General features: G+C 41.4%; 1 protein-coding gene across 6 annotated transcripts in view; it reads left to right on the top strand.

Moving 5' to 3' along the window:
* The window catches only part of ULK4 (unc-51 like kinase 4), a 715,505-nt gene that overhangs the window by 109,049 nt on the left and 583,961 nt on the right, over nt 1-22,495 (top strand). For 4 of the 6 annotated variants that reach the window (NR_136342.2, NM_001322501.2, NM_017886.4 and 1 more), the window contains one exon: nt 17,084-17,191. Coding sequence is in view for 3 of the 6 variants with exons in the window: in NM_001322501.2 (NP_001309430.1) it covers nt 17,084-17,191 (108 nt within the window). In the remaining 3 variants the exon portion in view is untranslated. Of the gene's footprint in view, nt 1-6,360; nt 6,376-17,083; nt 17,192-22,495 lie in introns of those variants that run through there. The other 2 variants (XM_047448417.1, XM_024453612.2) reach the window with 2 other exon arrangements.

Below are 22,495 nucleotides of genomic sequence, written 5' to 3'. Positions count from 1 at the left end.
GGCAGTGTTTCAGTTTTCCAGCCTAGCAGACTCCCAGGTGTTTGAATCTCTGGTCTCCCAGGTGAGTCATTGTGAATGTGAGCTGCAGACCTGCTTTTGAGACTTGATTTGATTCTCAGGGGAGATTTTTTTCACCACTGCTTCTTTTAGTATCAAGGTCTCAACATTTCTTGCCAGACTCTGTTGCAGGCTGGTTCATTTCTTATTCATATATCCTTGAGTTACCAACTTAATATTAATGGTCTCCTATTTGATACTACACTATGGGCAGGAGCTGAGGGTTGTCCCTTGTTCCATTTCAAAAGGTCATTTCGAGGTCACCAAGAGTTTAGCACATCTCCCCCCATCCACCTGGGGTTAAAGTATTCTGATTCTCTCTGTTGTTTCTATTTGTTCTCTGTTGTTCTTTCTCTATCTCTCTGTTGTCCTGTTTTCTCTGTTTCCCCCTTTTCTTCAGTTTTCTTCTTTTCTATTTTTGGTCTTTGAGGTTTTCTTAACGTCTTGCAAATTTAAGTATGCATTTTATAAAGATATTTTATCCAGCATTTTTTGTTCCTTTCAGTAGGAGTAATATGCAGAAGATTTTGTCTGCTATTCACCAGAAATGGAAAAAGTAATTTTAATTGAGTAATTAATTTTGAACTATAGATTTATTACAGATTTATTGCAATTCGATACCTAATTTCTTGACTTAGTCTGCATGGCAAGATTGATCAGTATACTTTTTAAAATGAAAACAAATTTTTTTTAAAGAGTAGTTTTCGGCTGTGAATCCTTCTGGTCCTGGACTTTTTTTGGTTTGTAAGCTATTAATTATTGCCTCAATTTCAGAGCCTGTTATTGGTCTATTCAGAGATTCAGCTTCTTCCTAGTTTAGTCTTGGGAGGGTGTATGTGTCGAGGAATTTATCCATTTCTTCTAGATTTTCTAGTTTATTTGCGTAGAGGTATTTATAGTATTCTCTGATGGTAGTTTTTATTTCTGTGGGATCGGTGGTGATATCCCCTTTATCATTTTTTATTGCGTTTATTTGATTCTTCTCTATTAGTCTTGCTAGCGGTCTATCAATTTTGTTGATCTTTCCAAAAAACCAGCTCCTGGATTCGTTGATTTTTTTGAAGGGTTTTTTTGTGTTTCTATCTCCTTCAGTTCTGCTCTGATCTTAGTTATTTCTTGCCTTCTGCTAGCTTTTGAATGTGTTTGCTCTTGCTTCTCTAGTTCTTTTAATTGTGATGTTAGGGTGTCAATTTTAGATCTTTCCTGCTTTCTCTTGTGGGCATTTAGTGCTATAAATTTCCCTCTACACACTGCTTTGAATGTGTCCCAGGTATTCTGGTATGTTGTGTCTTTGTTCTCGTTGGTTTCAGCCAAATTCTACCAGAGGTACAAGGAGGAGCTGGTACCATTCCTTCTGAAACTATTCCAATCAATAGAAAAAGAGGGAATCCTCTCTAACTCATTTTATGAGGCCAGCATCATCCTGATACCAAAGCCTGGCAGAGACACAACCAAAAAAGAGAATTTTAGACCAATATCCCTGATGAACATCGATGCAAAAATCCTCAATAAAATACTGGCAAACCGAATCCAGCAGCATATCCAAAAGCTTATCCACCATGATCAAGTGGGCTTCATCCCTGGGATGCAAGGCTGGTTCAACATACGCAAATCAATCAACGTAATCCAGCATATAAACAGAACCAAAGACAAAAACCACATGATTATCTCAATAGATGCAGAAAAGGCCTTTGACAAAATTCAACAGCCCTTCATGCTAAAAACTCTCAATAAATTAGGTATTGATGGGACATATCTCAAAATAATAAGAGCCATCTATGACAAACCCACAGCCAATATCATACTGAATGGGCAAAAACTGGAAGCATTCCCTTTGAAAACTGGCACAAGACAGGGACGCCCTCTCTCACCACTCCTATTCAACATACTGTTGGAAATTCTGGCAAGGGCAATCAGGCAGGAGAAAGAAATAAAGGGTATTCAATTAGGAAAAGAGGAAGTCAAATTGTCCCTGTTTACAGATGAGATGATTGTATATCTAGAAAACCTTATACAAAAATTAATTCAAGATGAATTAAAGACTTAAACATTAGACCTAAAACCATAAAAACCCTAGAAGAAAACCTAGGCAATACCATTCAGGACATAGGCATGGGCAAGGACTTCATGTCTAGGACACCAAAAGCAATGGCAACAAAAGCCAAAATTGACAAATGGGATCTAATTAAACTAAAGAGCTTCTGCACAGCAACAGCAGCTACCATCAGAGTGAACAGGCAACCTACAGAATGGGAGAAAATTTTTGCAACCTACTCATCTGACAAAGGACTAATATCCAGAATCTACAATGAACGCAAACAAATTTACAAGAAAAAAACAACCCCATCAAAAAGTGGGCAAAGGATATTAACAGACTCTTCTCAAAAGAAGACATTTATGCAGCTAAAACACACATGAAAAAATGCTCATCATCACTGGCCATCAGAGAAATGCAAATGAAAACCACAATGAGATACCATCTCACACCAGTTAGAATGGCAATCATTAAAAAGTCAGGAAACAACAGGTGCTGGAGAGGATGTGGAGAAATAGGAACACTTTTACAGTGTTGGTGGGACTGTAAACTAGTTCAACCATTGTGGAAGTCAGTGTGGCGATTCCTCAGAGATCTAGAACTAGAAATACCATTTGACCCAGCCATCCCATTACTGGGTATATACCCAAAGGATTGTAAGTCATGCTGCTATAAAGACACATGCACACGTATGTTTATTGCAGCACTATTCACAATAGCAAAGACTTGGAACCAACCCAAATGTCCCACAATGATAGACTGGATTAAGAAAATGTGGCACATATACACCATGGAATACTATGCAGCCATAAAAAGTGATGAGTTCATGTCCTTTGTAGGGACATGGATGAAGCTGGAAACCATCATTCTCAGCAAATTATGACAAGGACGAAAAACCAAACACCACATGTTCTCACTCATAGGTGGGAATTGAACAATGAGGACACTTGGGCACAGGAAGGGGAACATCACACACCAGGGCCTGTTGTGGGGTGCGGGGAGGGGAAGGGATAGCATTAGGAGATACACATAATGTAAATGACGAGTTAATGGGTGCAGCATACCAACATGTCACATGTATACATATGTAACAAACCTGCACGTTGTGTACATGTACCCTAGAGCTTAAAGTATAATAATAAAAATTCTTTAAAAAAATGTAGTTTTAGGTTTACATCAAAATTGAGAGAAAGGCACAAAGACATCTCATATACCCCTGCCCTCACACATGTACAGCCTTCCCTATTAACATCCTGCACCAAAGTGGTTCATTTGTTCTAGTCGATAAACCTACATTGACACATTATTGTCACCCAAAGTCTGTAGTTTACATTATGCTTTGCTCTTGGTGTTATAAATTTCTTTGGGTTGAGAAGAATGTATTAAAACATCTATCTACCATTATAGTATAATACAGAGTATTTTCACTACCCTACGAAGCCCCTGTGCTCTGCCTATTTTTTATTTTTCCTTTCCCCTAACCCCTGGCAGCCATTGACCTTTTTACCGTCTTCATGGCGTTGCCTTTTCCAGAATGTTGTATACAGTCTGTGGTTCATGTGCTGCTTCTCTAGTGGTTGGTGTTTTGCAACCCTGGTGTCAGATTCATGACGTAAATGTTGGTACAGATCTTAGCTGCTATACAAATGCTTCTCTACCCTAAGATATGGATGCAATAGTTTACTGCTTTATTAGCAATTCTTTTAAAGTAATACAAGTCCTTCATGACTACCTCTAGCTAGAGTGATGTTTTTGAATTGAATGATTAGGGTTATCTGTCAGTCAGGATAGGCTAGCTTATGTTACGGTAACAAAAACCATCAAAATCTCAGAGGGTTGCTGCAGGCCTAGGTGGCTTTTGTGGGCAGCTAACCTCAGCACTCCAGGCTGCTTTCATTTTCTGTGGCGTTTCTATCCAGCATAGTGCCTTACAGTTTACTGAGGCAGAGGAAGAGAGTATGGAAAATTGCACATAGGAATACATACATCATTTCCACTTTCAGTTAATTGGCCAGAACTAGTCACATGGCCCTGCCTGACTCTAAGGGGGCTGGGAAATGTTTTTGTGTCAAGGAAGGGCAGGAAACTGGACAGCACTATCTATTACTTTTTAAGGTTGATTCTGCCTAACTTAGGCATAAAGGGTATTTATTAGAGGAAAATGAACAAGGTCAAAGGCTCCAAGAGAAGATTGGAATAGTCTGCTATTCCTGGCAGCTGGACCTGGCAGCTCCTGAGGGTTTCTGGACCTGGACTCTCTTGGAGTCCTGTTTGGGGATACTGCTAGAAGGAAAAAGTGAACGTCAGCTGTTCCTTCACTCTATGTCCAGATTCAGATTCCTGAGCAAGAGCCTTGCTGGCTGCAACTTAGGTTGTGGCTCTGCCCTTGACTGTACCAGACTGTAGGAGGAAAGGTGTTTCTGAAGAGAGCCTGGGACCCTTTCAGGTTTTGTATTTGAGGGGCAGAATGTCTGATTTGCCATTCTACAGACCAGGCACAGTGCAGGAAAGGTATTTCCTCAAAAGGAAGTTGAGTGGTGTTAAGAAGAGGGGCTGGATGACTGGTGACCAAAAAATGGCAGATTTCTTTTGTAGTTGACATTTGTTGACATCTAATTAAAAAAATCCAGGAAGTTTGTAAAGTTTGTTTACCTAGTATCTCCAAACTTTTTAAATGACTGAAAGACTGTATGAGAAATCTACTTATGCACTTTACTTGCTTTTCCTGACAGTTTATTATCTTTAAGAGAAGGAATCTACCAGTTACAGGTTGTTTGTTTACATTTAGGCCTTAACAGGGAAGTGACAAGATAGCAGTCCTTGCTTCTCCTTGATTTAGCTTTAGGAGTTAGATGCCAATTACAGATGCCAGTTTGAATGCATTTAGCCAATTAACATGCAGAGAATTAGAGATAATGTTAAAACTTTGATTTTGGTGCAGATGTCACCAGAGATCTTCCTATAGACAACCTTGCAAGGACATTTTCAGAGTTATTAATTACAGAACAGAATTTTATTCTCTTCAGTTTCATTATCTGTCTCCCCTGGCATTATTGGCCTTCCCTTATCTGTTCAGTATGTCCATTTTCTTTTTTAACCAACACTTGTGAAACCAAGAGTTTGAAGTTTCAGGTAGACAGATGTGATTTTACTTGCGAAGGCTTAATCAAATACACAGCATCCAAAGGAATCTAAGATTTAATACAAATAAAATAGAACATGGATTAAAAAAGGAGTGGGGATTATGAGGTTTACAGTGTTCTTATTTTATGTGCCCTAGCTCTGTTTGTGTCATTGAAAGTAGTGTTCTAAGAAACCACTTAGAACAAAGGGCAAAGTGGTATCAAATAGAATTCCCTCTTCATTTGGGATTGTGGAATGCCTCTTATTTCAGGGGTTAGGGAAGAATACCGAAATATTTTAAAAGTTGTGTTGTTGTTGTAATTACTACTGTATCTCCCATTGGAGTAGTTAAGTAGGGTTTTAAAACGTCCCTTTGGTCTAGTAAAACACTGACCATAATAGGAAATGCCTGATATTTTCTGAGTCAGGAGATTAATTCAGTTTCTTTTTGTAACTGTAATTGTATATCCACTAACATGGAAGTTTAACAACTATATTTTGAGAGTCAAGAGCAAGCAAATTATGTCTTTGCAAGTATTAGAATATTAGTTGTATAACTGCAGAACTTCCACATTTATTAGAATTAGCTTCCTAATTCATCATCTTCCTGTATTTTTCTTAAGAGTTGCAGTCCAGGGCATATGAGATTGAAGCACATTTCACCTTTTCATATCTATCAGATGACTTCAGACAAAGCCAAAAAGGCCTGGCTCCACCCAGTCATACTTGTTATAAAATAGGTTTTGATTTCAAAGAAGTAGTGTGGAAAATGGCAGTACAGTCTTAAATTACTATTTGCAGTATTCAGCCAACCAGTCATGCCTGTGGTTGCCCAAGAATAGTTTCTGTTAGGTTAATAGAACCAGTGATGGTATAGATATGCCTCAAAGCATAACGGTATTAGAAATAACACCAAAAAACCCATTTTCCTTCATGTATGGTTTTCAAAAAATGCACACAATAATAGCATGATACTTGAATATCCTATTTTTATCTTTTAGTTTCAATGGTAAGATTTTTTTTTTTTTTTTTTGAGAGAGAGAGTCTCGCTCTGTCGCCCAGGCTGGAGTGCAGTGGCATGATCTTGGCTTGCTGCAACCTCTCCCTCCCAGGCTCAAGTGATCCTCCTGTCTCAGCCTCCCCAGTAGCTGGGACTACAGGTGTGTGTCACCATGCCTGGGGAATTTCTGTATTTTTAGTAGAGACAGGGTCTTACCATGTTGGCCAGGCTGGTTTTGAACTCCTGACCTCAGACAGTCTGCCTGCCTCGGCCTCCCAAAGTGTTGGGATTACAGGTGTGAGCCACTGCGCCTGGCCTCAATGTTAGGATTTTTAACAGTAATTTCAATGTTAGAAGGCCAGGAGGATTTTTAAAGACTAGAGGAAAACATGCATAATAACAATATCCACATATTCCTTGGATTTCTGAGTTTGAAGAGCTAAATCTATTTTACCTTATTCATTTAGTATTGGCATTTTCAACTGCCATTGTACCTAGGTCAACAGATACATTTTTTACCCTTGGTGTTTGTCTTTTATGTGTTATATTTGTTCTTTATTCTTATATTTTTCTTTTTATTATTATTTCTTTAAATTTGTAATACAGCAAATGGAAAATCTATACAAATAACCTTGAGGAGAACCATTATCTGTTGAGTACTTTTTAATGCTATCCAAAGTTAACTTTTGCAAGTGAGATGTGAGGTTGCTGTGGCATTACTGGAATAAATTATATGATGTGTGTCTATTTACAAGACATTGAGTTCTAAAGCAATTTCTATTATGCTGGAGGCAGTCCAGACAGTTTTATCACTTTAAGGGTCTGTAGCATTAAAATGTTTTAAATTTCCAGTGACGCTTGCTGACACAAAATACTAGTGGATTATAAAATGGAGAAATGCTGTAAATCCCTGCCACTAACTTTGTGAAGCAGAAAGCCAGATCTGGGTTTTGAATTTAATATGAGGTTGACAGTTTTTTAAATTAAACTTTTTGTTTTGAGATAATTGTGGATTCATGCCCAGTTGTGATCCAACATTGGGGATCAAATTTCAACATGAGATTTGGGGGGGACAAATATCAAAACTATATTACAAATAATATAGAATAATAATAGTTTCTCTCTGTAAGAAATAATAGAGAGATCCTGTGTATACTTCATCCAGTTTTCCTTCATGATAATGTCTTAAAAAAGTATAATACAATTTTACAACCAGAATATTGACATTGAAACAGTTAAGGAAAAGAAGAGTTTCATCACTGCAAGGATCCCTCATATTCCCTTTTTATGACCCTATCCTCTTACCCTGCTGTGTGTGCTGCCCTCCACCCCCGAAGCCAATCTGTTTTCCATTTATATATTTTTGTCATTTTGAGAATGTTGTATAAATAGTCATATGGTTTGTAACCTTTTGTGGTTGGTGGTTGGCTTTTTTCATTTGGTGTAATTTTCTGGAAATTCATCTAGGTTGTTGGATGTATCAGTTGTTTGTTCATTTTTATTGCTGTGAAGTATTCTGTGGTGTGGTTGAATCACAGTTTATTTAACCACTTACCCATTGAAAGATATCTGGGTCGGCCGGCTGCGGTGGCTCACGCCTGTAATCCCAGCACTTTGGGGGCCGAGACGGGTGGATCACGAGGTCAGGAGATCGAGACCATCCTGGCTAACACGGTGAAACCCCATCTCTACTAAAAATACAAAAAATTAGCCGGGCGTGGTGGTGGGTGCCTGTAGTCCCAGCTACTCGGGAGGCTGAGGCAGGAGAATGGCATGAACCCGGGAAGCGGAGCTTGCAGTCAGCCGAGATTGCGCCACTGCACTCCAGCCTGGGCAACAGGGCGAGACTCCGTCTCAAAAAAAAAAAAAAAAGATATCTGGGTCATTTCCAGTTTTGACAATTACAAATAAAATTGCTATAAACATCCATTTACAGATGTTTGTGTGGACAACAGCCTTCCTTTCTCTTGGATAAATGCTCAGGAGTGCAATTGCTGGGTCCTGTGGTAATTGCATATTTAGTTGCTGTTTTTTTTTTTTTTTTTTTTTAGAAAAACCTCCAAAGTTTTCCGAGTGACTGTAGTGTTTTACATTCTCACCAGCAACGTATTGAGAGGTGACAGCGTGCTGGCAGCCCTCACAGCCCTCGCTCGCTCTTGGCGCCTCCTCTGCCTGGGCTCCCACTTTGGCGGCACTTGAGGAGCCCTTCAGCCTGCTGCTGCACTGTGGGAACTCCTTTCTGGGCTGGCCAAGGCTGGAGCCGGCTCCCTCAGCTTGCAGGGAGATGTGGAGGGAGAGGCGCGAGCGGCAACCGGGGCTGTGTGGGGTGCTTGCGGGCCAGCTGGAGTTCTGGGTGGGCATGGGCTTGGCGCGCCCTGCACTCAGGCCGGCTGGCCCTGCCGGCCCCGGGCAATGAGGAGCTTAGCACCTGGGCCAGCGGCTGCGGAGGGTGTGCTGGGTCCCTCAGCAGTGCCGGCCCACCGGCGCTGCGCTCGATTTCTCGCCCGGCCTTAGCTGCCTTCCCATGGGGCAGGGCTCGGGACCTGCAGCCCACCATGCCTGAGCCTCCCACCCCCTCCGCGGGCTCCTGTGCAGCCCGAGTCTCCCCAGCGAGCGCCGCCCCCTGCTCCATGCTGCCCAGTCCCATCAACCACCCAAGGGCTGAGGAGTGTGGGCACAGGGCACGGGACTGGCAGGCAGCTCCACCTGCGGCCCCGGTGGGGGATCCACTGGGTGAAGCCAGCGGTGCTCCCGAGTCTGGTGGGGACTTGCAGAACCTTTATGTCTAGCTAAGGGATTGTAAGTACACCAATCAGCACCCTGTGTCTAACTCAGGGTTTGTGAATGCACCAATGGACACTCTGTATCTAGCTACTCTGGTGGGGACTTGGAGAACCTTTGTGCAGACACTCTGTATCTAGCTAATCTAGTGGGGACGTGGAGAACCTTTGTGTCTAGCTCAGGGATTGTAAACGCACCAGTCAGTGCCCTGCCAAAACAGACCACTCGGCTCTACCAATCAGCAGGATGTGGGTGGGGCCAGATAAGAGAATAAAAGCAGGCTGCCCGAGCCAGCAGTGGCAACCCACTCGGGTCCCCTTCCACACTGTGGAAGCTTTGTTCTTTTGCTCTTTGCAATAAATCTTGCTGCTGCTCACTCTTTGGGTCCACACTGCCTTTATGAGCTGTAACACTCACCACGAAGGTCTGCAGCTTCACTCCTGAAGCCAGGGAGACCAGGAACCCACCGGGAGGAAGGAACAACTCCAGAGCACTGCCTTAAGAGCTGTAACACTCACCATGAAGGTCCGCAGCTTCACTCCTGAGCTAGTGAAACCACGAACCCCACCAGAAGGAGGAAACTCCAAATACATCCGAACATCAGAAGGAACAAACTCCCGACACACCGCCTTTAAGAACTGTAACACTCACCGCGAGGGTCCGCAGCTTCATTCTTGAAGTCAGTGAGACCAAGAACCCACCAATTCCGGACACAGTATGAGTGATTCTGTTTCTCATCATCCTTGGCAGCTTTTGGTGTTGTCACTATTTTTTATTTTTACCATTCTGATGAGTGTGTAGTGATATCTTATTTTGGTTTTAATTTATATTTCCCTAGTTGCCAATGATGTTGAACATCTTTTTATGTGCTTATTTGGTGGCTGCATATTCTCTTTGGTACAATGTCTCTGTGCTTTTGGTGTCAAGTGTACTTTTTAACCTAGTACTAGATCCTGAAGACGTTATCCTATATTTTCTTCTAGAAGGTTTATAGTTTTATGTTTTACATTTAAGTCTGTGATCCATTTTGAGTTAATTTTTTGTGTCAAGTACCAGACTTAGGTCAAGGTTCACTTTTTGCTTTCCTATGGATGCCTGATGGCTTCAGCACTATTTATTGAAAAAGTTGACTTTTCTCCATTGGACTGCCTTTGCACCTTTGTCAAAAATCTCTTGGCTATTCTTGTGTGGAGCTATTTCTGAATTCTGTTTGGTTCCATTGATCTATGTGCCTATCCCACCAGTAATGCCTGTGTTAGCCTGTTTTGCTTTGTTGTAAAGGAATACCTGAGGCAGGATAATTTATAAAGAAAAGAGGTTTATTTGGCTCACGGTTCTGCAGGCTATAGAAGAAGCATGGTGCCAGCATCTGCTTCTGGTGAGGGCTTCAGGCTGTTTCCACTCATGGCAGAAGGTGAAGGGGAGTAGACATCCCATGGTCGGAGAGAAGGAAAGAGAGAGGAGGGAGGTGCCAGATTCTTTTTAACAGCCAGATCTCCTGAGAACTAAGAGTGAGAACTCACTCAATCCCACAAGAATGGCATTAAGCCATTCATGAGGGATCTGCCCCATCATACAAATACCTACCACAAGGCCCCACGTCCAACACTGGGGATCAGATTTCAACATGAGATTTGGAGGGGATGAATATCCAAACTATATCAATTTCCAAACAGTTTTCATTACTGTAGCTGTATAAGTCTTGAAACCAGGTAGAATAATTGCAACCATTTTTTTTCTTTTTTCCCTTTTTATATGGGGGTTTCACTCTGTTGCCCAGGCTGCAGTACAGTGGCTTGATCATAGCTCACTGCAACCTTGAACTTCGGGACTCAAGCAGTCCTCCCACCTTAGTCTTCTTTTTTTTTATTTTTTTTTTTACATGTTCATTGCAGCGTTATTTTCTTTTTTTTTTTTTTGTATTTATTGATCATTCTTGGGTTTTCTCAGAGAGGGGGATGTGGCAGGGTCATAGGATAATAGTGGAGAGAAGGTCAGCATATAAACACGTGAACAAAGGTCTCTGGTTTTCCTAGGCAGAGGTCCCTGTGGCCTTTGGCAGTGTTTGTGTCCCTGGGTGCTTGAGATTAGGGAGTGGTGATGACTCTTAATGAGCATGCTGCCTTCAAGCATCTGTTTAACAAAGCATATCTTGCACCACCCTTAATCCATTTAACCCTGAGTTGACACAGCACTTGTTTCAGAGAGCACGGGGTTGGGGGTAAGGTTACAGATTAACAGCATCCCAAGGCAGAAGAATTTTTCTTAGTACAGAACAAAATGGTATCTCCTATGTCAACTTCTTTCTACACAGACACAGTAACAATCTGATCTCTCTTTCTTTTCCCCACATTTCCCCTTTTCTTTTCGACAAAACCGCCATCGTCATCATGGCCCGTTCTCGATGGTCGCTGTCTCTTTGGAGATGTTGGGTACACTTCCCAGATGGGGCGGCCTGGCAGAGGCACTCCTCACTTCCCAGATGGGGCTGCCGGGCAGAGGTGCTCCCCACCTCCCAGACGAAGGGCGGCTGGGCAGAGGTGCTTCTCACTTCCCAGGTGGGGCAGCCGGGCAGAGACGCCCCTCACCTCCCAGACGGGGCGGCCGGGCAGAGGTGCCCACTTCCCAGACGGGGCGGCCGGGCACAGGCGCTCTCTACCTCCCACACGAAGGGCAGCCGGGCAGAGGCGCTCCTCACTTCCCAGGCGGGGTGGCCGGACAGAGACGCCCCTCACCTCCCAGACGGGGCGGCCGGGCAGAGGCGCCCACTTCCCAGACGGGGCGGCCAGGCAGAGGCGCTCCCCACCTCCCAGATGAAGGGCGGCTGGGCAGAGGTGCTCCCCACCTCCCAGGCGGGGCGGCCGGGCAGAGGCGCTCCTCACCTCCCAGTCGGGGCAGCTGACATCCCAGACGGGGTGGCGGCCGAGCAGAGGCGCTCCTCACCTCCCAGACGGGTGGCGGCTGGGCAGAGGCGCTTCTCACATCCCAGATGATGGGCGGCCAGGCAGAGGCGCTCCTCACTTCCCAGACGGGGCGGCCGGGCAGAGGCGCTCCTCACATCCCAGACGGGGTGGTAGCAGGGCAGAGGCGCTCCTCACTTCCCAGACGGGGTGGCCGGGCAGAGGCGCTCCTCACATCCCAGACAGGGTGGTGGCAGGGCAGAGGCGCTCCTCACTTCCCAGATGGGGCAGCCAGGCAGAGGGGCTCCCCACATCCCAGACAATGGGTGGCTAGGCAGAGACGCTCCCCACTTCCCAGATGGAGTGGCAGCCGGGCAGAGGCTGTAATCTTAGCACTTTGGGAGGCCAAGGCAGGCGGCTGGAAGGTGGAGGTTGTGGCGATCTGAGATCACACCACTGCACTCCAGCCTGGGCAACACTGAGCATTGAGTGAGCGAGACTCCGTCTGCAATCCCAGCACCCCGGGAGGCCGAGGTGGGCAGACCACTCGAGGTCAGGAGCCGGAGACCAGCCTGGTCAACAGGGCAAAACCCTGTCTCCTCCAAAAATACAAAAACCAGTCAGGTGTGGCGGCGCGCGCCTGCAATCGCAGGCACTCGGCAGGCCAAGGCAGGAGAACCATCGGAGCCTGGGGCAGGGAGGCTGCAGCGAGCTGAGACCACGGCAGTACAGTCCAGCCTCGGCAACAGAGGGAGACTGAAGAAAGAAAGGGGGAGAGGGAGAGGGAGAGGGCAAGGGAGAGGGAGAAGGAGAGCCACCTTAGTCTCTTGAGTAGCTAGGACTCTAAGCATGCACCACCATGCCTGGCTAACTCTTTTTTTAAAATTATTTTTGTAGAGACAGGGTCTTGCTTTGTTGTCCAGGTTGGTCTCAAACACCTGAACTCAAGCCATCCTCCCGTATTGGCCTCCCAAAGTGTTGGTATTACAGGACTGAGTCACTGTGCCTGGCCCACATTTTCTTCCTTTTTCAAAATTGTTTTGGCTGTTCTAATTCTTTTGCCTTTCCATATAACTTTTATAATAATTTTGATATCTATAAAGAATTGTTTCAGGATTTTGGTAGGAATTTGATTAGATCTGTCCATTAATATGGGGAGAATTTGACATTTTCCACTACGTTGAGTCTTCCTATCTATGAACATAGTCTATTACTCCATTTATTTAGATGTTCTTTGATTTTTTTAAATAGCATTGTGTAGTTTCAGCATACAAATCCTGTACCTGTTTTGTTAGATTTTTACCTGAGTATTGTTTTTTTGGGGGGGATTGTAAATGGTGTTTTAAATTTCAGTTTCCATGTGTTTATTGCCAATATATAGGAGTACAGTTGTATTTTGAATGTTAACATTGTATCCTGTGACCTTGCAGAACTCACTAGTTCTAGGGAGTTTTTTTCTTTAGACTCTTTGGGACTTTCTGTGTTGACAATCATGTCATTTGCAAATAATTATCTGTTTCATATTGGGTGAGTTGTGATAGTTAGTTTTTTTTGAGGAGTTGGTCCATTTTTTCTATGTGGTGAAATTTATATATATACAGTTGTTCGTAGTATTCCTTTATTATTTTGATGTCTGCTCATTTTCTATATAGTTTTATCATTTTTTAAAATTTAGAAATAAAAAATTTAATTAGCAAATAATTGTATATTATTATATACAATGTATATATTATATGTATATATTATATATGTTATATCTATTACTTCACATATTTAGTATTTTTTGTAGTGAGAACATGTAAAATGTACTCTTTTTTTTGAGACAGAGTCTTGCTCTGTTGCCCAGGCTGGAGTGCAGTGGCATGATCTCAGCTCACTCTAACCTCCACCTCCCAGGTTCAAGTGATTCTCCTGCCTTGGCCTCCTGAGTAGCTGGGATTACAGGCATGCACCACCATGCCCAGCTAATTTTTAGTAGAGACGGGGTTTCACCATGTTGGTCAGGCTGGTCTCTGACTCCTGAGCTCATGATCCACCTGCCTTGGCCTCCCAAAGTGCTAAGATCACAGGAATGAGCCACCTTGCCTGGCCGTAAAATCTACTCTTTCAGCAATTGTGAAATAAGTGTTATTATGAACTATGGTCACCGTGCTGTGCAATAGATCTTGAAAACTTGTTCCTCCTGTCTAACTGAAGGTTTGTACCCTTTGATCAACATCTCCCTATTCCCCACTCCACCCCCAGCTTCAGGTAAGCACTGTTCTACTCTCCATGTCTATAAATTTCACTTTTTTGGATTTCACATATGAGGAAGATGATGCAGTATTTGTCTTTCTGTGCATGAGAGGGGGGTGTTGAAGTTCACAACTGTAATTGTGGATGTCTGTTTATCGTCCAAGTTCGATCAGTTTTTGCTTCACATATTTGGCAGCTCTTTTGTTGAGTGATACACATTTAGGATTGGTATGAATTTATTGATTTATTGACTTAGATTTAGTGTAATTATTGATGTGTTTGATCCTAAGTCTGTAATTTTATTTTTGTTTTCTGTTTGTTCTCAGTGTTTTTCATTTCCATTTTCTTTTTATTACCTTCCTGTGGTTTACTGAACATTTTTTTTTACCACTCCATTTGGACTTTTTCTGTAGTGCTTTTAAGTATATCTCTTTGTATGGATTCTTTTTAGTGATTGCTGTATGTATTATATACATACATACATAAAACAGTCTACTGGTGTCACCGTTTTACTAGTTGAAGTGTAGAAAATGTACCCTCCTTTTCATCCCTTTACCCTCTCTCATTTTTATATAATTATCTTGAATGTATTCTCTAAATGTCTTTAGAACCCAATCAGACATTTTTACAATTTTTGCTCAACTACGAAAGATAATTTAGAAAACTTAATAGCAGTAAGAAATCCTATTGTATTTACCTATATTTTGGCCTACTGTGTTCTTGCTTCCTCTCTGATTATTTCAAGGTTTCTTCTTTCGTCATTTTCTTTCTCTTTTAGAGTAGTGTGCTGGTGACAGTTTGCTGTTTTTGTAGGTAAAAAATTGCTAAACACTGGCAGTTTCAGATGATTCAGTGTAGTAGATGATCAGCAAAGGTCAAAGGAAAAGGAAGACTGTGTAGAAGTGACCTGCTGCAAGGACTGATGTGAAGCTACATGGTTCCTTTTTCTTCCTCACCCACTTCATCTAGATGATGTATTATGTGTAAGGCAGTGAGTGGTGAGAGTTACACGTTTGGTACATCCATACAATAGAATACGTTCAGCAATAAGAAGGAATGAACTGGCTGGACACAGTGGCTCGTACCTGTAATCCCAGCACTTTGGGAGGCTGAGGTGGGTGGATCACTTGAAGTCAGGAGTTCGAAACTACCCGGGCCAACATGGCGAAACCCAGTCTCTACTAAAAATACAAAAATCAGCTGGCCATGGTGGTGTGTACCTGTAATCCCAACTACTCAGGCTGAGGCAGGAGAATCACTTGAACTCAGGAGGCAGAGGTTGCAGTGAGCTGAGATCGTGCGACTGCATTCCAGCCTGGGTGACAGAGTGAGACTCTGTCTGGAAAAAAAAAAAAAAAGTTATTGATATATGCAGCAACATGGATGAATCTCAAATGCATTATGCTGAAAGAAGCCAGACAAAAAAGAATATATAGTGTATGATCTAATATAGTATATGATCAACATAAAATTTAGAAAATACATGCTAATGACAGAAAGTAAATTGATGGCTTTCTGGGGAGGAGAGGAAAGAAGTAAGTAGGAAAGAGGGATTACAAAAGGACATGGAGGAAACACTGGAGGGCTTTTGTTATCTTGATTGCAGTGATGATTTCACAGGTGTATACATATGCCAAATGTGTCTATTTGTACACTTTAAATATATGCATTGATTTTATATAAGTTATACCTCAGTAAAGCTGTTAAATCGCACATTAACAAGTACTCCTACAGTGCATGACTACTGTGCAGCTGTCCCACCTGCATCTCCAACTTTTTCATACTCTTATTTGCAAAATGAGACCAGTGATTGCATGCTTGGATGTTGTGGAATTGTCAAATTGCTTTGAAGTTTTTAAGCACTTTCAGTTTTTAAACTAACGTCTTTGTCAATGGTAAGAAATAGTCTTGTCTGTGCACCACACTTTGAGTCACATTGAGAGTAGTGCTTCCACACTATTTTATATACATTTTTTTCCTTCTCAGAGTGGAGCCATTCTGTATGTCATTCCGAAACTGTTCTGTCCTAATCATGGTCGCACTATGATTTGATTAACCTGTGTTCTGGTGTATGAACTCTGGCAATGAGTGTATGTGATTTTCTTAGCATGACTCCTAGGACATTAACTAGATCTGATAAAACATGCTGTCGAGTTTCAGCGTACATTATATTACAACTTTAGTATAACATTCTCAGGCTCTGATTTTTTAAGGAATCATGTAAAAGTTTAATGCAATATAAGAACTTTTTAAACTGTGTTGTGCCGGAGCATACCAGGGACGTGGCATGGTAAAATTCGTTTTAGGATCCTGGCTGTCCAAGTGAACTGGATGGCTTGGGGCCAGTTGCTGGAACCTCTCTCAGCCTCTATTTACTCTTTAAAGATAGGGCAGCAATTAATTGCCTCTCAGGATTAGTGATACGGTGGAAGTGCTTTATAAACTGAAAAGTGAGTCAGGTGCACTGACTCACTCCTGTAATCCCAGCACTTTGGGAGGTCGAGGTGGGTGGATCTTGAGGCCAGGAGTTTGAGATCAGCCTGGCCAACATGGCAAAACCCCGTCTCTACTAAGAATACAAAAATTAGCCGGACTTGGTGGCGTGCGCTTGTAATCCCAGCTACTCGGGAGGTTGAGGCACAAGAATCTCTTGAACCCAGGAGGCAGAGGTTGTAGTTAACCAAGATTATGCCACTGCACTCCAGCCTGGGTTAAAAAAAAAATTATAAACTGAAAAGGGCTATATGTGTTTATTTTACTGAATATATTTCTAAACTTCATCTGGGAGAGTTACTGTATTTTCAGGAATATAAGGCCCATATTTTGAAAATAATTTGGAAAATAGTTCTTAAAAATGGTGACTTTTACAGGGTATCCTGCTTTTTACATATAGGTTTAAGAACTGAGAGATACATTTGAAATAATTTACTTTTTTTTTTTTTGTCTTTGCAGGCAATTGTTCTCTTAACTGAATTAATTAGGGAAAACTTCAGGAACAGCAAATTAAAACAGTGCCTTTTACCAACCCTTGGGGAGCTGATCTATCTTGTAGCCACCCAGGTGAGACTGTCTGATTAACTCTGTTGCTGTTTGACATGTTCTGACATACTCTGGCTGACAAGTATTAATATCCTATAAAAGTTTTTTGATTTTGCGCCTTAGAGCACGCCTGAGGAACTTAGGATAAATTTTACCTCTTGGGGAGAGAATTTGTCAGTGTTACTCAGCCTCTTTCTATCTTACCCTGTCTCCCTCCTTCCTTCCTCCCAGTGCCTCTTTTCCTTTAGAATGTAGGTGGTTTGAAGGCCATATTTTAAAGTCAATGGACTGAAAGTCCCTAAGGTACTCCCAAGGTTGCTGCCATCCTTTACTCCTTTAGGCAAGAGGAGACCATTGGTTCTTTCCATGGAAAGCTCCATTTCAGTTTAAATAAAGCACAACTTTGTGCAAATACAGCTTTTAACTGACTATGGGCATTTGTGAAGGCAGAATTTGACTTATTATATCTAAAGGTGCAATATGGAAGTGCTACTGAATTCAACAAGCCAAAATTTAATATTCCATTAATGTGGTTTTTTAAAAAGAATATTATGGAATAGATAGTGATAAGTTATGAATTAGTCATTTAGTGTCATACTCTGAGAGTTCTAAATAAATACTGGTAAGTTATAAGTAATTAAGGAGGTTATGTCATTGTATTTCTTTGTTTGTTTTGAGACAGGGTCTCACTCTGTTGCCCAGGCTGGAGTGTGATAGCATGATCATGGCTCACGGCAGCCTCGACCTCCTGGGCTCAGATCATTCTCCCACCTCAGCCTCCTGGGTAGCTGGGACTAATTTGAGGAGAACTGATATTGTTATGATTTTGAGTCTTCCAAATCACATTTGGAATTGTACTGAATCTGTGTATTGATTGAGAAATTACTGATATCTTTATGATATTTATATAGTCCTCCAATGCACAAAAAGTAGTATTTACATATATTAATATATAAAAACTACAGGTATGCACCTCCGTGCCTGGCTAATTTTTTGTATATTTTGTGAAGATGGGGTTTCGCCATGTTGCCCAGGCTGGTCTCGAATTCCTAGGCTGAAGTGATTCGCCCACCTTGGCCTCCCACAGTGCTGGGATTACAGGTGTGAGCCACTGTACATGACTGTAATTGTATTTCTTGAGTTTTGGTTCTAGCACTTGCTCAAATGTTACATAACCTCAATATCCTTAGTATCTAAATTAAACTGACTTTCTGAACAATCATCATTTTAAGGCAGTTACCATGATTGTTATAAAACATGAGTATTTTAACTTGTTTAACTCCATAATTAGTACTGATAGCTGGTACAGCAAATCCGTCCTCTTCATTCTTTGTTTTTGTGAGTGTCTTGACTATTCCTGGCCCTTCGCATATCAGAATAAATTTTAGAATCAGCTTGTCCAATTCTGCAAATCATCTGTTTTTAAAAACTACACTGATTATGTAGATAAATTTGATAACTAATATCGTTACGATTTTGAGTCTTCCAAATCACATTTGGAATTGTACTGAATCTGTGTATTGATTGGGAAAGTATTGATATCTTTATGATATTTATATAGTCCTCCAATGCACAAAAGTAGTATTTACATATATTAATATATAAAAAAATTTTGTTGCAATTCTTTTATTCTATACAGAATGCCTTTGTACATCTTTCTTTGGTTGAATTTATTCTCAGGTAATTTTGTATTTCAAAGGGACAACATATTCACAAACCTAGAACACTGGAAAGTGAAGAAAGGTATATGGGGAGAAGTCTTTTTCCTAGTTTTGTACCCCATCTGTCCAGCTCCCCAATAAATATTATAATTATGTGTAATTTAATATAAATATTATAAAATACAAATATAATTTCTTATATTTACAGAGTTAATTTTGTATATATGAGCAAATACAAATGTAGATTTTGTATCATTTTAGGCAACAGGTAGAAACTCACTTTTTTCACTCAATAGTTATACACTGTTAGGAATAGTACAGGGAGCAAAATAGTATTGGAAGTTCTCGCCGGGGTGATCAGGCAAGAGAAAGAAATAAAGCGCATTTAAATAGGAAGGGAGGAAGTGAAATTGTCTCTGTTTGCAGATGACATGATTCTAGATTTAGAAACCCCCCTTGTCTCAGCCCAAAAACTCCTTAAGCTGATAAGCAACTTCAGCAAAGTCTCAGAATACAAAATCAGTGTGCAAAAATCACAAGCATTCCTATACATCAACAGTAGACAAGCAGAGAGCCAAATCATGAATGAACTGCCATTGACAGTTGCTACAAAGAGAATAAAATACTTGGCTGGGCGCAGTGGCTCACGCCTGCAATCCTAGCACTTTGGGAGGCTGAGGCAGGTGGATCATGAGGTCAGGAGATCAAAACCATCCCGGCTAATATGGTGAAACCCCGTCTCTACTAAAAATACAAAAAAATTAGCCAGGCATGGTGGTGGGCACTGGTAGTCCCAGCTACTCGGGAGGCTGAGGCAGGAGAAGGGCTTGAACCCGGGAGGCGGAGTTTGCAGTGAGCCGAGATTGCGCCACTGCCCTCCAGCCTGGGCGACAGAGCAAGATGGCATCTCAAAACAAACAAACAAAAAAAAAAAAAACAAAAAAAAAAACAACTTAAGAATACAGCTAACAAGGGACAGGAAGGACCTCTTCAAGGAGAATTACAAACCATTGCTCAAGGAAATAAGAGAGGACACAAACAAATGAAAAGCATTGCATCCTCATGGATAGGAAGAATCAATATTGTGAAAATGGCCATACTGCCCAAAGTAGTTTATAGATTCAATGCTATTTCCATCAAACTACCATTGACATTCTTCACAGAATTAGAAAAAACTACTTTAAATTTCATATGGAACCACAGAGAGCCCATATAGCCAAGACAATCCTAAGCGAAAAGAACAAAGCTGGAGGCATCACACTGCCTGACTTTAAACTATACTACAAGGCTACAGTAACCAAAACAGCATGGTACTGGTACAAAACAGACATGCAGACCAATGGAACAGAACAGAGACCTCAGAAATAACCCATACATCTACAACCATCTGATTTTCAACAAACCTGACAAAAGCAATGGGGAAAGGTTCCCTATTTAATAAATGGTGCTGGGGAAACTGGCCAGCCATATGCAGAAAACTGAAACTGGATGCATTCCTTGCACCTTATACAAAAATTAACTCAAGATGGATTAAAGACTTAAATGTAAAGCCCAAAACCATAAAAACCCTAGAAGAAAACCTAGGCAGTACCATTTAGGACATAGGCATGGGCAAAGGCTTAATGACAAAAACACCAAAAGCAATGGCATCAAAACCCAAAATTGACAAATGGGATCTAATTAAACTAAAGAGCTTCTGCACAGCAAAATAAACTAGCATCAGAGTAAACAGACAGCCTACAGAATGGGAGAAAATTTTTGCAATCTACCCATCTGACAAAGGTCTAATACCCAGAATCTACAAGGAACTTAAACAAATTTACAAGAGAAAGCAAACAACCCATAAAAACGTGGGCAAAGGATATGAACAGACATTTCTCAAAATAAGACATTTATGTGGCCAACAAACATATGAAAAAAAGCTCATTATCACTGATGATTAGAGAAATGCAAATCAAAACCACAATGAGATACCGTCTCACACCAGTCAGAATGGCAATTATTAAAAAGTCAAGAAACAAAAATGCTGGCGAGGCTGTGGAGAAATAAGAATGCTTTTGGACTGTTGGTGGGAATGTACATTGGTTCAACCGTTGTGGAGGACGATTCCTCAGGGATCTAGAACCAGAAATACCATTTGACCCAGCAATCCCATTACTGGTTATAAACCCAAAGGAATATAGATCATTCTACTATAAAGACATATGCACATGTATGTTTATTGCAGCACTATTTACAATAGCAAAGACATGGAACCAACCCAAATGCCCATCAATGATAGACTGGATAAAGAAAATGTGGCACATATACACCATGGAATACTATGCAGCAATAAAAAAGAATGAGATCATATCATTTGCAGGGCCATGGGTGAAGCTGGAAGCCATCATCCTCAGCAAACTAACACAGGAACAGAAAACCTAACACTGCATATTCTCACTCACAAATGGGAGTTGAACAATGAGAACACATGGACACAGGGAGGGGAACAACACACATGGGGGCCTGTCAGGGGATGGGGAGCAAGGGGAGGGAGAACATTAGGATAATTACCAAATGCATTTGGGGCTTAAAACCTAGATGATGGGTTGATAGGTACAACAAACCACTCTGGCACACGTATACCTATGTAACAAACCTGCACGTCCTGCACATGTATCCTAGAACCTAAAGTTTAAGAAAGAAAAAAAAATATATATATATATAAAATAACAATAAAAATGTAAACTTTATTTTTCAATGTAAGCTCCATCAAGGTCAAGATACTTTGGTAAGTGATGATACCACCATTAAAAAAAAAAAAAACGACTAGTATATGGAGATATGTACACTGGAGCTGTTTCTTAATAATTAACATAGATATATTTCTCAGTCAGTACTTGTAGCTCCCTGCTCCCTCTTCTTTTTATGTGATAGAACATTTCCATCCCAGTACTTTTGGAGGCCAAGGCAGGAGGATCTCTTGAGCCCTGGAGTTTGAGACCGCCCTGGTCAACATGGTGAAACCTCGTCTAAAAAACTTGCAAAAATTAGCTGTGTGTAGTGGTGTGCACCTGTAGTCCCAGCTACTTGGGAAGCTGAGGTGGGAGGATTGCTCAAGCCTACGAGGTTGAGGCTGCAGTGAGCCGTGATCATGCCACTGCACTCCAGTCTGGGTGTCAGAGCAACACCCTGTCTAATAAATAAATCAATAAATAAATAAATAAATAAAAAAAATAATAAAAACATTCCCTGTGCGATGTACATTATGTGCCAAGTTTTGTGAAAGGCACTTTTCCTCGCAGTTCTTTGGGGATAGGGCTGGAGAATTTATTTCTACTTTACCACTATTTTGGACCCTCAAGGCCTTGACATCAAGGCTCAAACTTAACAAGTTTTGTATACCCCCCGAGAAAATAAAACCTCAGTGCTCAGTTTATCCCATGCTTTCAATTGTCTGATTTTTGGCTTAATTATTCTTTATTATTTTGTCAGATCTTTGATGCATTTTAAGGGTGTCAAAATAAAACCAGTTGCTTTCATTAGAAGAGTAGTCAGGTACCTGGTCTACTGTCTTACCAATAATGACAGTCTAGTCTAATTCTTCTTTTTTTGGTCCTATAGTTTTTCATCCCTGCCCCCTGCTTGAGATATAATTGGTAGACAATAAACACATATTTAAACA

The sequence above is a fragment of the Homo sapiens genome, chromosome 3 (genome assembly GCF_000001405.40).
Source record: "Homo sapiens chromosome 3, GRCh38.p14 Primary Assembly".
NCBI lineage: Eukaryota > Metazoa > Chordata > Mammalia > Primates > Hominidae > Homo > Homo sapiens.
Note: the sequence above shows the minus strand (reverse complement) of the source record. Positions and strands in the feature narration are given on the sequence as shown.